This window comes from Homo sapiens, chromosome 1 (assembly GCF_000001405.40).
Source record: "Homo sapiens chromosome 1, GRCh38.p14 Primary Assembly".
Lineage (NCBI taxonomy): Eukaryota > Metazoa > Chordata > Mammalia > Primates > Hominidae > Homo > Homo sapiens.
Window position 1 is genome coordinate 39,525,474 of NC_000001.11, and position 15,076 is coordinate 39,540,549.

General features: G+C 48.7%; 1 protein-coding gene and 1 pseudogene across 6 annotated transcripts in view; one reads left to right on the top strand and one right to left on the bottom strand.

Moving 5' to 3' along the window:
* BMP8A (bone morphogenetic protein 8a) overlaps positions 1 to 4,396 on the top strand; it is a 38,234-nt gene extending 33,838 nt beyond the window's left edge. The window contains exon 7 of the mRNA NM_181809.4: positions 176 to 4,396. Coding sequence (NP_861525.2) covers positions 176 to 325 — 150 coding nt within the window. The 3' untranslated portion in view covers positions 326 to 4,396. The remainder of the gene's footprint in view (positions 1 to 175) is intronic.
* The window catches only part of PPIEL (peptidylprolyl isomerase E like (pseudogene)), a 37,419-nt pseudogene that overhangs the window by 3,194 nt on the left and 19,149 nt on the right, over positions 1 to 15,076 (bottom strand). For all 5 annotated transcript variants that reach the window (NR_003929.2, NR_144355.1, NR_144354.1 and 2 more), the window contains one exon: positions 3,582 to 3,691. The product of NR_003929.2 is annotated as a peptidylprolyl isomerase E like (pseudogene), transcript variant 1 (transcript). The remainder of the gene's footprint in view (positions 1 to 3,581; positions 3,692 to 15,076) is intronic.

A 15,076-nucleotide genomic window follows, 5' to 3' on the forward strand; every position in this document is an offset into this window, starting at 1 on the left:
TCCCAGAGCTCTCAGGGCTGCTCTTATTCCTGTTAATAATTCTTATTATTGTGCTGCTCCCATGTGGCTTGGAGATGGCCAGGGCAGGGAGCAGGTGGAGCTGGGGCGGGGCTAGGTGGGTCCTCAGAGGAGGCCACTGGCCTCATGCCCCTGCCTGTGCTCCCTTCCTGGCCAGGTGCACCTGATGAAGCCAAACGCAGTCCCCAAGGCGTGCTGTGCACCCACCAAGCTGAGCGCCACCTCTGTGCTCTACTATGACAGCAGCAACAACGTCATCCTGCGCAAGCACCGCAACATGGTGGTCAAGGCCTGCGGCTGCCACTGAGTCAGCCCGCCCAGCCCTACTGCAGCCACCCTTCTCATCTGGATCGGGCCCTGCAGAGGCAGAAAACCCTTAAATGCTGTCACAGCTCAAGCAGGAGTGTCAGGGGCCCTCACTCTCGGTGCCTACTTCCTGTCAGGCTTCTGGTCCTTTCTCGGTACCTCTGTGCCCCTCCCCTGGGGTTTGTGGCTGTCACTCTGCCCGACACTTTGGTGGCCTAAGGCACACAGCAGCCTCAGAGCCTGTGCTGACTGCACTGTCTGGAGTCAGCACAGAAGTCCTATCTTAGGACCTGTCAGACTGTGGCTGGCCCCGGATGGTCTGAGGTTGGCTGACCCGAGCTTTTCTCCATTCACCAGAGGGTTTAGGTGTGAGGAGAAGGGCTCTGCCTCTTCCCAGGTACAACACTGGCCATTTCTGGGCAAAATTGGACACGCTTATGTTCTCAGCACAGTGTGTTCTGGGATTCTTCTCATTTGGTCCAGGGTGCAGTTAGCATATTAGAAAAAGAATAAGCTGGACATCCCCACGAAGCCACTGGGGATTTTTTTTTTTTTTTTCCAGATAGAGTCTCACTCTGTCACCCAGGCTGGAGTGCAGTGGTGCAATCCTGGCTCACTGCAACCTCTGCCTCCCAGGTTCAAGCAATTCTCGTGCCTCAGCCTCCTGAGTAGCTGGGATTACAGGGGCCCACCACCACGCCCAGCTCATTCTTGTATTTTTAGTAGAGACGGGGTTTCACCATATCGGCCAGGCTGGTCTTGAACTCCTGACCTCAGGTGATCCACCCGCCCGGCCTCCCAAAGTGTTGGGATGACAGGCATGAGCCACCGTGCCTGGCCACTGGGGATATTTTATGTCATGTGTATTCCCTTGCCCTGGGCCTGCCCCTTCTCCTGCCTGGGAAAGAGGTATGACTCCCACAGGAGCAAAGAATCCTGGGGGCTTCCAGTTCCCTCCACCATCTCTACCATGCTGACCCATTTGGGGCTCAGCACTGAGACAGAGGCAAGACCAGCAGCTCCAACATGTAGTGTAGGCTGGCACAGAGCAAATGCCCCCGCAGCCTGCTCCCCTTGCCCATGGCTCATGTCAGTAATCAACCTACGTACCTTTCCCACTGAACCAGGACAGGGCCTCCAGGCCTCAGCACAGAACTGCAGACAGCCACCACCAGGCATTGTCAATAAGACCTCAGTTCCCCCTCCTGCCCCACTGCAGAGCAATCCATTCCATCCAAAGCAGGGTGACTGGCAGTCTCCGGCCAGGCATGGGGCAAGGGTGGGGACTGCCAGTGTTTGCTTGTGTCTAGGAGTTATGAACAAGCTGGCCACCAAAATTGGCGTCACCCTGGGTGCCCACCAGCGCTGTCCTGTGTCTTGGGTCTGTGAGTCAAAGAAAAGGTCCCTGTCCCAGGGAGTGACAGGCAGTAATTAGGCTGAGTTGGGTGGGGAGGTTTGTCTCGGCCTCCACTGTTCCCGGAAACCGCTGTTCTCCTTGGAACAGCCACTGGGAGTTGGAGTGTTTATTTGATTTCTGACTTGCTAAGCCTGTAATTTACCTGCTGGAACAGACAGAGTCCAGCTGCCCAAACCGTGTCATTAAAAGCAGATCCTGGGCCCGCCCCATCCACAGGCACAGCCTGGCAGAGTGGTTCCACCTCCCCATGGGCCCAAGGATGCGCCTCTCTGGAGTTCACGTGCTGCACCCCCAGGGAGGGGCCTGGGGAGAGCTGGTCCAGCAGCAGGGGTGGAGGCTGGGGCCACACTGCGGGACAGCAGCCCCTCCACCTGGACCAGGGAGGGCCTCCATGTGCAAGCGCAGAGGAAGAGACCCTCTCATGTACATAAAGGGTGGGCCCAGGCTGTCTGGAAGATGGTGAGTTCCCCACTAGTCTAAGGCTTCAAGCTCAGCTAGCAGAGATTGGAAGAGGCAATGGCCTGAGTGTTAGGAGACAGGTATTCTGGTTCCAACTCAGCCACTGACTTGGTGTCAGGACAAGTCCCCTTTCTTATTCACGCTTCAGTTTCTCATCTGCAACATGAGGACATAGGACTCTTTAATTCCAAAGGCTCTTCCAACCCAGAGAACCCATCTGCCCCCATGACCTTCTCCCAGAGCTTGAGACATGGCCTGAGCCCCCTGCTGCCATAGGACTTGGGGCCTATCTGCCATTGCAGGACCTGATTTAACAGCTCTCTTCTTCCAATACTGGGCAGTAGAGTTTCGGAAACTGACAAATGTGTGGTCTCTTCAGTGCCCAGTGTGTAACCTGGCATGGTTTGGGTGTGCTAGGAGTTTGTGAAATGAATGTTTTCAAGACGCAAACGCTGCTATGCCCATCAGGTGTGCACAGCAGGCCTGAGGATCATGATGAGACTCCCTTTTTATGCAGCAAAGCACAAAGTGTGACAGTCGTGGCCTTCCTGGTGGCCAGACTTCTAGCAACTTTAGCCACCCACCAAATGACATCACATACAGAAGGCCTCAGAAAGGGAGGAGGTCGTAAGGACACACAGCTGATGAAGGGTCAGTGCTCAGCTATCAAGGTCATCTTCTGGCCTGGTTGCCTCCCACAGCCCAGGATGCATTCAAGGCTGCACATCAGGAGCATAAATAAGGGTGGTCAGCTCAGGCCCACTGGCTGCAACAAGTAGCCACTGACAGGGAGTCTGGGGCCATTTGGTGCAGAACAACCCCCAACCCAGTGGCCATCTTCACAACTGCAGCACAGTGCTGGCCCTAATGCCAGGTGAGCGTGCAAAGTCCTGTTTCTTTGTCTTTACATAGGGACCGGGCGATGCGCTTTAGAGAAATTCCCTATTATTTCACAGGAAAGGAGGCTGTGAAAAGGAGAGGGCAGGTTTTGGAGCCAAGTCGACCTGGCATCAGGTCCTGGCTGCCTTTTTTTTTTTTTTTTTAAAGACATACATGGTCTTGCTTTGTCGCCCAGGCTGGAGTGCAGTGGCAGTGTCATGGCTCACTGCAGCCTCAACCTGCTGGGCTCAAGCAATCCTCCCACTTCAGCCCGAGTTGCTGGGATGACAGGCACACGCCACCATACCCAGCTAATTTTTAAATTTTTTATAGAAACCAGGTCTCACTATGTTGCCCAGGCCGGTCTTAAACTTTGCCCAGGCCAGTCTTGAACTCCTGAGCTCAAGCAATCCTCCTGCCTCAGCCTCCCAAAGTGCTAGGATTACAGGCGTGAGCCACTTACCCGGCCTCTGCCTCTTGTTAATTTGACCACATCATGTACCTGCTGTGCCCGTTCCTTCCTCCGTAGAAGAGGGTGCTGGTCCTGCCCTTTTGAGGCCTCCATGAGGGCCAAATGTGCCATGGGACACTTAGTGCCATGCCTGCGCAGACCTGTGGAATAAACAGCAATTCTGAGCAGGCTCATTTTAAAGGGACTTGCAAATTTGGGCGTTCCTTGTGTGCCTTCCTCATAAAACCCACTCCTCCCAGAATATGCTTAGAGGTGCTGCTGTATTTACCTGAGAGCTATGCTTTTCATCAAAAACCTAAACGTGATCATCTCTTGGATGAGGTGTGGCCCTGCACACTCGCCTGCTCGTGGAAGGAGTCTGGGCCAGCAGTGACCCACGCGCTAGGGTCTCTGCTGAGGAAGTGGCAGGTGTGCGGCCCTGCCCTGGCCCCGTAGTGAGTGTGGGGCCCACCTGTGCCCTCATGGGCAGCTGAAGGGGGAGCTTTCTACCCCAGGTTCCTTTCCTTACTGAAAAGTCTTGAGCAAACAGTTGCCGCTCTCCACCCCCTGCTTTTTAAAAAAAATTTTTTCTCACGTAAGAAAATGTTATCTGTGTGCTGGGGAAAATTTTGAAAATAACAAAAACCAGAATACAAACACCCATAATCAATCACAGAGATAACCACTGTTCATAATTCCTTCCAGTCTTCTTACTTGGCACATATACATTTGTCTTTCTTTATATATGACATATGGATATTTTACAAAGTTAGGATCCTACTCTATGCACTGCTTGGTGATCGGATCTATTCAATGTACAAAATATTTTGAAAGTTTCTGTGATTAAATGTTCTTTGAAAACATAACTTTTAGCAGCCTTCCATCCCTTCAGTTCTGCTTTAGCTTCTCCCTTGTATGTCTGGTCTTGCGTTCCCTTCCTCAGAGGCCGGGATGGGGCTCCTGTGACCAGGGTGGCAGGCAGCCTAGTGCTGAGATCGCATGGCCACGAGGCTGGCCATGGGTCTGGAATCCCTGGGCCAAGAACCTCCTCTCCTTCTCTGTGCAGCAATTGGCACAAGCAGGGGCAGGTGCCTCACCTCTGAGGCTTAGGTGACCTCAGAGTACAAGGGTCACAGATGGACCCACTGGGATAACTTCCGGGGAAACCCTGATGGTTCCTCTCCCACTGGCCTCTGGCTGGTCCCTTGGTCCCTCCTTCCCAGGGTAATCAGGCAAGCACAGCAATAAGGTCCTCCCTTGTTTCACAGGGTTGTGGGACCAGTTCTCCCTCCCGGGGCCTCGGGCCAGCCTGCCTGTCACCCCCAGAACCCACAGTGTTGAGCAATTCACACACATCCTCTTCTCTCCTGGGCTTCATGGCAGCCCTGAGTAGCTGCCTTATCCTGGCCTCAATGCTGCCTGTCCTGACGGCCATGACTGACCACCAGTAATGACACCGACATTGAGGAGTGAGAGTGCCTGCTGGGAAAGCTGCAGGCCCAAGCTGATCAAGCGGGGAGAAGCCCCACCCAGGGTGCCAGAGGTGGAGCTGGCTTGGGGTCACTGGGGCCAGGGCAATAGGCTTCTCCTTTCCCCACCACCCTCACCCTGGTGGATACTCAACATCAAGACTTGATTCAGCCAGCATTCTGGGAGGCCAAGGCAGGTGGATCACCTGAGGTCAGGAGTTTAAGACCAGCCTGGCCAACATGGCGAAACCCCCATCTCTACTGAAAATACAAAAATTAGCTGGGCATGGTGGCGGGTGCCTATAATCCCAGCTACTTGGGAGGCTGAGGCAGAATTGCTTGAACCTGGGAGGCAGAGGTTGTAGTGAGCTGAGATCATGCTCCAGCCTGAGTGACAAAAGCAAAACTCCATCTCAAAAAAAAAAAAAAAAAAAAAAGGCTTGATTCAGACAGAGCTCCTAGGACATGTCATGGGAGCCAGTGGGCAGCCCTGGGGGAGGTTTCTGGAGACTGATAGGGCTCAGTTTCAACACCTGAAAGAGGCCATGAGGTGGCCTGGCTGGCCCAAAATCGGTGCAGGGTGAGAGGCCATCCTAGCACAGGCTGCGCACCATGACACCACACTGCAGTTTCCAGGTAGGCCTGGGGTTGGGGAGGAGGAAGTAGGAGCCACCCCTGGCTTGTTTCTCCCCAGCACCAAGCACATCCGCTGACTAAAGAAGCGCCCTGTGTGCTCCTCGGTAATACAGTTCTGTTGGTTCAGGAAGTGCATAATGAGTGCCAGGTCAGTGAGACTGATTACAAATGTCCATCAGGCACAAGACCAGCTGGTGTGAGAGCAGGAATGGTAACTGACCAGAAAGAAAAGACACAGGCACTTTTACATGGCTTTGACTTCTACTGCCCCACAATGGGCTGCCGAGGGCATCTCCTAAGGGACTTGGCCTAAGAGAGAAGAGCAGCAGCCGAGATGCTATGGCCTGTCCCAGCAGCAACCTCTGAAAACACCTGGGACCTGGCTGGCAGGCAGCAGTATAAGAACTAGAATTTATTTTAGCAAACCAAAGAGAACAAAACATCCAGGAGCCACATTGGTGGGCCCACAGCAGACCCAGCAGCAAATGCCGAGAAAAGTGGTGGTTGGAGAAGGAGCACCTGTGCTGGTTCGTGGGCCCACAGCTGCACTTGGGAACAGTCCAGGCTGTGCCTACAGAGGTGCTCCAAGCTGACCCTAAGGTGGGCCTCATGCCACAAATCCTGCTTGCTTCAAATAGGGCACCCTCGGTGCTGCCTCCTCTGAGGCTGGCAGCTCCTTCCTGGATGTGCAGGGGCAAGAGCAGAGTGGAGAGCAGAGAGAGTGCCGCCTCACACATACTCCCCACAGTTGCCAATGATCACCTTCTGCCTTGGCTTCCCATCCTTGCCTTTGCAGACAGAATAGAAGAGGGGACACTCAGGGGAGTGAAGGAGCAGAATAAAGACAGACTTTAGGGACATCCACCCCTACCTGCCCCCTGGGGACACTGGCCCTAACAGTGGTGGAGCTCACAATCTAGTGAAATACAGCCACCCAAAAAAGATGTGGATTCATCTCAGGAATGCAAAGTTGGTTTAACATCTAAAAATCAATCAATGTAATAGACAATTATCAATAGTATAAAGAACAAAAACCACATAATCATCTCAGATACAGAAAAAGCAGTAGACAAAATCCAACACCTTTTCATAATGAAAACTCAATAAACTAGGAGTGGAAGGGGGAACTTTCTCAATCTGATAAAAGGTATCAACAGAAAACTACATGTGAAAGACAAGATGCTTTCCCCCTAAGGTCAGGAACAAGACGAGGATATCTGCCCTTGACACTTCTATTCAACATTGTACTGAAGGTTCTAGCCAGGGTAATTAGGTGAAAAAAATGAAATGAAAGGCATCCAATCGGCAAGGAAAATGTAAAGCTATTTCTATTTGCAGATGACACACTCTTGCATATAGAAAATCCTAAAAAATCCACAAAAAAAACTATTAGAACTAATAAACAGGCCGGGCATGGTGGCTCACGCCTGTAACCCCAGCACTTTGGGAGGCCAAGGTGCGCGGATCACAAGGTCAGGAAATTGAGACCATCCTGGCTAACACGGTGAAACCCCATCTCTACTAAAAATACAAAAAATTAGCCAGGCGTGGTGGCGGGCGCCTGTAGTCCCAGCTACTCAGGAGGCTGAGGCAGGAAAATGGCGTGAACCTGGGAGGTGGAGGTTGCAGTGAGCTGAGATCGTGCCACCGCACTCCAGCCTGGGCGACAGAGTGAGACTCCATCTCAAAAAAAGAAAAAAAAAAGAACTATTAAACAAGTTTAGCAATGTTGCAGAATACAAAATCAATATACAATTGATTATATATATTTTTGTAGAGATGAGGTCTCATTATGTTGACTCGGGCTGGTCTCAGACTCCTGGACTCAAGTGATTTTCCCACTTCAGTCTCCCAACGTGCTGGGATTATGAGTGTGAACCACCATGCCTGGCCTGTTTTGTGGTTTTCAAAGTATAAGCTGTATACATCTTTTAAACTTATTCCTAAATATTTTATTCTTTTTTATGCTATTGTAAGTATAATTGTTTTTCTTTTTATTCTGTTTTCAGGTTGTTCATTGCTGATGTATAGAAATATAATTGCTATATCTACGGCCAGGCACGGTGGCTCACACCCGTAATCCCAACACTTTGGGAGGCCGAGGCGGGCAGATCACAAGGTCAGGAGATCGAGACCATCCTGGCTAACATGGTGAAACCCTATCTCTACTAAAAATACAAAAAATTAGCTCGGCGTGGTGGCGGGCGCCTGTAGTCCCAGCTACTCAGGAGGCTGAGGCAGGAGAATGGCGTGGACCCGGGAGGTGGAGCTTGCAGTGAGCTGAGATGCTGCCACTGCACTCCAGCCTGGGCGACATAGCAAGACTCTGTCTCAAAAATAAGAAAAGAAATATAATTGCTATATATATATGTGTGTGTATTTTTTTTAGAAGAGTCTTGCTCTGTTGTCCAGGCTGGAGTGCAATGGTGCAGTCACAGCTGTCTACAAAAATATTTTTTAAAATTAGCCAGGTGTGGTGGTGTGTGCCTATAGTTCCAACTAGTTGTAAAGCTGAAACATAAGGACCACTTGGGTACAGGAGTTCCAAGACTGTGGTGAGCTGTGATTGCACCACTGCACTCCAGCCTGGGCAATACAGTGAGACCCTGTCTAAAAAAAAAAAAAAAAGAATGAGAGAAACTATTTGCAAATTATACATCTGATAAGAGACCTGTATCTAAAATATTTAAAGAATTCTGACTCGCTAGGCATGGTGGCTTACATCTATAATCCCAGCATTTTGGGAGGACAAGGTGGCAGGATTGCTTGAGCCCTGGAGTTCGAGACCAGCCTAGATAACATAGCAAGACCCCATCCCAATTAAAAAAAAAAAAAAAAGAAAACCAAAGAACATTACTGAAAAACACTGAAGAAGACCTAAACAAATGAAAAGATATCCTGTGTTCATGGATCAGAAGACTTAATATTGTTAAGATGATGATACTCCTAAATTCTTCACATTCAGTGCAATCTGTATTAAAATCCTAGCTGGCTTTTTTCATACGAGTTGATAAGCTTATCCCAAAATTCTTAAGAAATGTAAGAGACTCAGGATAACCAAAACAATCTTGAAAGGAAAAACAAAGTTGGAGGACTCGCATTTCCAGAATTAAAAATTTACTACAAAGCTATGGAATTTAAGACACAGTAGTAATGGCCTAATAACAGACATACAGATCAACAAAATATAATTTAGAATCCAGAAGAAACCCTTACATTTATGGTCAACTATATTCACCAAGGATACCAAGACAATTAAACAGGAAAAAAACTAGCCTTTTCAACAAATGGTGCTAGGACGACTGAAAATCCACATGTAAAAGAGTAACGCTGGACCACTTTCCTCACACTATACACAAAAATTAACTTCAAATGGAGTAAAGACTTCAGTGTAAGAGAGAAAACCATAAAATACTTAATAGAAAGTGTAGGAGTAAATCTTCATAATCACTACACCAAAAGTACAAGTGACAAAAAAAGATAAATTAGACTTTATCAAAATTAAAATATTTTGTGCTTCAAACGACGCCATCAAAAAAGTGAAAAGACAACCTATAGAATGAAAGAAAAGGCCGGGCGCAGTGGCTCACGCCTGTAATCCCAGTACTTTGGGAGGCTGAGGCGGGTGGATCACTTGAGGCTAGGAGTTTGGGACCAGCCTGGGGAACGAAGTGAGAGCCCCATCTCTACAAAAAATAAGAAAAAATTAGCCAGGCATTGTGGTGCATGCCTGTAGTTCCAGCTACTTAGGAGTCTGAGACAGAGGGATCACTTGAGCCCAGGAATTTGAGGCCACAGCAAGCTGTGACTGTGCCACTGCACTCCAGTCTGGTCAACAGAGCAAGACCCCGTCACTACAAAAATAAAAAAAGAAGGACTCTTGACTATATTTGGTCAGGTGTGGTGACTCATGCCTATAATCCCAGCACTTTGAGAAGTGAAGGCAGGCGGATCACTTGAGGCAAGCCTGGGCAACACAGGGAGACCCTGTCTCTACAAAAAATAAAATTAGCTGGGCCTGGTGGCATGCACCTGTAGTCCCAGCTACTTGAAAGGCTGAGACAGGTGGATCACTTGGGCCCAGAGGGTCAAGGCTGCAGTGAGCTGTGATCACATCACTGCACTCCAGGCTGGGTGACAGAGTGAGAACCTGTCTCAAAAAACAAAAAACAAAAGAATTCTTACTCAACAATAGAAAGACAAATAATCCAATTAAAAATTGGTAAAGGGTCTGAAGAGACATTTTTCCAAAGAAGATATAGAGAAGGCCAATAAACACATGAAAAGATGCTCAACATCATTAACTAGCACGGAAATGCCAATCAAAACCACAATGAGATACCACTTCACATCACTAGGATAGGTCTAATAAAAAAAGAAGGATAATCACAAGTGTTGGTGAGGGTATAGAGGCATCAGAAACATCATACACTGCCGTTAAGAATGCAAAATGGGGCAGTGGCTCATGCCTGTAATCCCAGCACGTTGGGAGGCCAAGGCGGGCGGATCACAAGGTCAGGAGATCAAGACCATCCTGGCTAACACGGTGAAACCATGTCTCTACTAAAAATACAAAAAAATTAGCCAGGCGTGGTGGTAGGCGCCTGTAGTCCCAGCTACTCGGGAGGCTGAGGCAGGAGAATGGCGTGAACCCGGGAGGCGGAGCTTGCAGTGGGCTGAGATTGCGCCACTGCACTCCAGCCTGGGCAACAGAGTGAGACTCCATCTCAAAAAAAAAAAAAGAATGCAAAATGGTACAGCCACTTCAAACAGTCTGGTCGTTTCTCAAAACATTAAAAATAGTTATCAGCCAGACACGGTGGCTCATGCCTGTAATCTCAGCACTTTGTGCAGATCACTTGAGGCCAGGAATTCGAGACCAGCTGGCCATCATGGCAAAGCTCCGTCTCTACTAAAAATACAAAAATTAGCCGAGTATGGAGGTGCATGCCTGTAATCCTAGCTAGGGGAGGCTGAGGCAGGAGAATCTCTTGAACCAGGGAGGTGGAGGTTGCAGTGAGCCGAGATTGTGCCACTGCACTCTAGAGTGAAATTCTGTCTCAAAAAAAAATAAATAAATAGTTATATAACCCAGCATTTCCAATTCTATGGCTACATCTAAGAGAAATGAAAACATATGTCTACACAAAAATTTGTATGTGAATGTTCACAGTGGCATTATTTGTAATAGCCAAAAAGTAGAAACAATCTATCAACTTATGAATGGATAAACAAATGTGGGGTGCAGACAGTGGGTATTAATTGGCAATAAAAAGGAATGATGGGGCCGGAGGCGGTGGCTCACGCCTGTAATCCCAACATTTTGGGAGGCCAAGGTGGGCAGATCACGAGGTCAGGAGATCGAGACCATCCTGGCTAACACGGTGAAACCCCATCTCTACTAAAAATACAAAAAATTAGCCAGGCGTGGTGGCGGGTGCCTGTGGTCCCAGCTGGGAGGCTGAGGCAGGAGAATGGTGTGAACCCAGGAGGCGGAGCTTGCAGTGAGCCGAGACTGCACCACTGCAATCCAGCCTGGGTGACAAAGTGAGACTCCATCTCAAAAAAAAAAAAAAAAAAAAAAACCAAAAACCAAAACAAAAAGAAAAAAAAGGAATGATGTACTGATACATGCTACAACATGGATGAACCTTGAAAACATTATGCTAAGTGAAAGAAGACACTCACAAAAGCCTACATATTGTATGATTCCACTTATATTAAATGCCTAGAATGGGAAAATCCATAAAGACAGAAAGTAAATTCGGGTTTCCCAGGGCAGGGGACCAACAGGATAAGTAGCAACTGCTAAAGGGTATGAAGTTTCCTTTTGGGGGATAAAATGTTCTAAAATTATTTGTGGTGATGGTTGCACAACTCTGTGAATACATTAAAAACCATTAAAATGTGTACTTTAAGTGGGCAAACTGGATGGTATGTAAATAATATCCTACTAAAGCCGTTAAAAAAAAAAGATAATTACACTACAAAATGGCAAAGCCCAGTGACAGAGACATTTGTGCATAGAATGGGAGCACTAGAGTCACCTAAGTGTTTGTGAAAAAGAGAAACAGATACTCACACAAACACTCATCATGAAGGCTTTCTGAAGGAGGTGATGTCTGAGTTCAGTCTAAAAGGCCTGGGGCCAGGCACCGTGGCTCACGCCTGTAATCCCAGCACTTTGGCAGGCCAAGGCAGGAGGATCACTTGAGTCCAGGAATACAAGACCAGCCTGGGCAACAGAGAAAAATCCCATCTCTACAAAAAATTTAAAACTAGCCAGGTGTGGTGGCATGTATCTATAAGTCCCAGCTACTTGGGAGGCTGAGGCAGGAGGATTGCTTGAGCCCAGGAGGTTGAGGCTGCAAGTGAGCCAAGATCATGTCACAGCACTCCAGCTTGGGAGACAGAGCAAGACTCTGCCTCAACAACAACAAAACAAACAAATAAAAAGCCTGGGTTTGCCAGGGGACTAGGGGGCGTAGGATAAGGAGCTACATCTCGTTGTGGCAATAAGAAACCCCCCTCTTCATGGCTGGGCCTCTAGACTGGGTACGCCCTTCATATGAGGACCATGTCCTATTCTACTCTTTTTGTTTGTTTTTTGAGACATGATCTCACTCTGTCATCCAGGCTGGAGTGCTGTGGCCCAATCATAGCTCACTGCAGCCTCAACCTCCCAGGCTCAAGCGATTCTCCCACCTCAGCCTCTCGAGTAGCTGTGACCAGGCACACACCACCATGCCCAGCTAATTTTGTAATTTTTGTAGAGACAGGGTTTTGCCATGTTGCCCAGGCTGGTGTCAAACTCCAGGGCTCAAGCAATCTGCCTGCCTAAGCCTAAAGTGCTGGGATTACAGGCACGAACCACCGCACCTGGCCCCATTCCACTCGATTCCCAGAGTCAATCAGGGAGCCTGGCACATAAAAAAGCAGCCTGTCAATAGCTTTTTTTTTGAGACGGAGTATTGCTCTGTCGCCCAGGCTGGAGTGCAGTGGCGTGATCTTGGCTCACTGTAACCTCTGCCTCCTGGGTTCAAGTAATTCTCCTGCCTCAGCCTCCCAAGTAGCTGAGACTACAGGCACCCGCCACCACGCCTGGCTAATTTTTTTGTATTTTTAGTAGGGACGGAGTTTCACCATGTTGGCCAGGCTGGTTTCTAACTCCTGACCTCAGGTGATCTGCCGGCCTCGGCCTCCCAAAGTGCTGGGATAATAGGCATGAGCCACCACGCACAACCAATAGCTTTTTAAAATAAATATTCAAATATTTATTGCATGCTTGCTGTGTGCCAGACACCGTTCCAGAATACAATGGTGAACAAGAAAGCCTAAGTCCTGCCCTCACGAGGCTGACATGGGAGAAAGGGAGACAGAAAATAAATAAGTAAAATAATAAATGTATAACACAATTTCAGGTAATAAGCGTAAGAAGAAAACTGAAGCTGATTAAAAAGAAGAGTGAGGTGGCAGGAAAGCCTGTTTTAGGGAGAGGTCAGGGTAGGCCTCTCAGCCAAGGGGACACATGGGTGGCATCTGAAGGAAGTGGGTGTGAACCATCTGGACAGTGGAGGAAGAACATTCCATGAGAGAAAAGGGCATGTGCAAAGGCCCTGAGGCAGGAGTGAGCTCAGCATGTCTGAGGAACAGCGAGACTGCCTATGGATGCAGAGGGCGAGGGGCAGCACATCCTAGGGGCACAGAGAGGTGCCAGGACCCAAGGTGGGTTAACCCTGTAGGACAGCGTCCCCACGCACAGCGCAGGATGGGTCAGCAGGAGGATGATGTGATCAGATTTATGATTAAAAACAATCACTCTGACTGCCAAGTGAAGATCAGACTATGAGGGTGAAGAAGCCAGGCTGGAAACAGGACTTGGTGGTCGTGGGGGAAGGGTGAAGAGTAGCTGGGCCAGGAGATGACCTGAAGTCAGATAGATGTGGCCTGCAGGTGATGCAGGAGTCCATGATGACGCCTAAGTTTCTGACCAAGCAGCTAAGTGGATGGTGGAGTCATTTACTGAAACAGGGAAAAGGGGGAGGAAGGGTGTGGGGGAGAAGGCCAAGGCCACATTTTGGACATGTGAAGTGTGAGATGCTCGTGGGATATCCAGCAAAGGTGAAAGGTAGGTGGTTGGACAGGAGTCTGGAGCTCAGGGAGCCATCAGCATGGTGACCCATGTGGACAAGCTTAACTCGGTGATTTCACTGAAAGTCCTGGGACTGGGCGGCGTGATTGCCCAGGGCATGGGTTCTCAGTGGTATCATACTGCCCCCTAGGGGCTACCAGAAACTGCAGTCTATTTTTGGTGGTCAGTAATACGGTGCTACTGGCATTGGAAGGAAGGGATCAGGGAGGGACTCTAGATGTCCTGCAGTCTCCTACGTAATGGAGAGTTACTCTAAATCCTGGACTTTCAAAAGCCCTGAATAACATTCATGTAGATAAGAAAAATCTATTTATAATGATCTGAGCCTACACCCTAACTCCATGTTCCATATAAATCCAAAGAATTATTTTTTTGTATCAAATTTTTCCAGAAATCAACCCATCCTGTCACTTTTCATTTCTTTTTGCTCAGAATTTTACCAAGAGATTTTTACTATTTCAAAACATCATGTTACTTTGATTCTGCCAAAACAACACACCTGAATCAGTCCACACTACTAAGTGCAGCTCTAGGCAGAAGTACACATGTTCAAGTACTTCATACATGTAGTTGCTTCCAAGCATTTGAATACTGAAATGCATATTATGTTATTACAAATTGTTTTCCTTTAATTTCCCTTTATATTACAACTATGAAATAATACTGTGGGGTTTTTCGTTTGAGACAGAGTCTCACTCTGTCACCCAGGCTGGAGTCCAAATGGTGCAATCTTGGCTCATTGCAACCTCTGCCTCCCCAGCTCAAGCCATCCTCCTACCTCAGCCTCCTGAGAAGCTGGGACTATAGGTGTTCACCAAGATGCCTGGCTGGTTTTTGTATTTTTTGTAGAGATGGGGTCTTGCCATGTTGCCCAGGCTGGTCTCAAACTCCTGGGCTCAAGCAATCCTCCCACCTCGGCCTCCCAAAGTGCTGGGATTATAGGCGTGAGCCACTGCACCCAGCCAATACCGTGTTTTTAATTAGGCATTCACTGGAAGGGTGCAGAGCTGTGACTTCCATCTCAGCACACTAGAGCATGAGCTGTAAGAGGCAGGTGCTAGGGTAAAAGGGTGAGAACTATTGAGGTAAAGAGTGAATACAGATACAGAAAAGCCATGGTGAGCACTGGGTCCCTCCAAAAATTTAGAGACTAGGAGGAGGAAGAGACAAGGGAAGAGACTGAGGGAAGACACCATGGGGCAAAAGGTAGGAGAAGAGGGAGGCCACCATTGTCACAGGAAGGCAAGCAGGCCAGGCAGGAGAGAATGATGCAGGCAGGGGAGTAGATC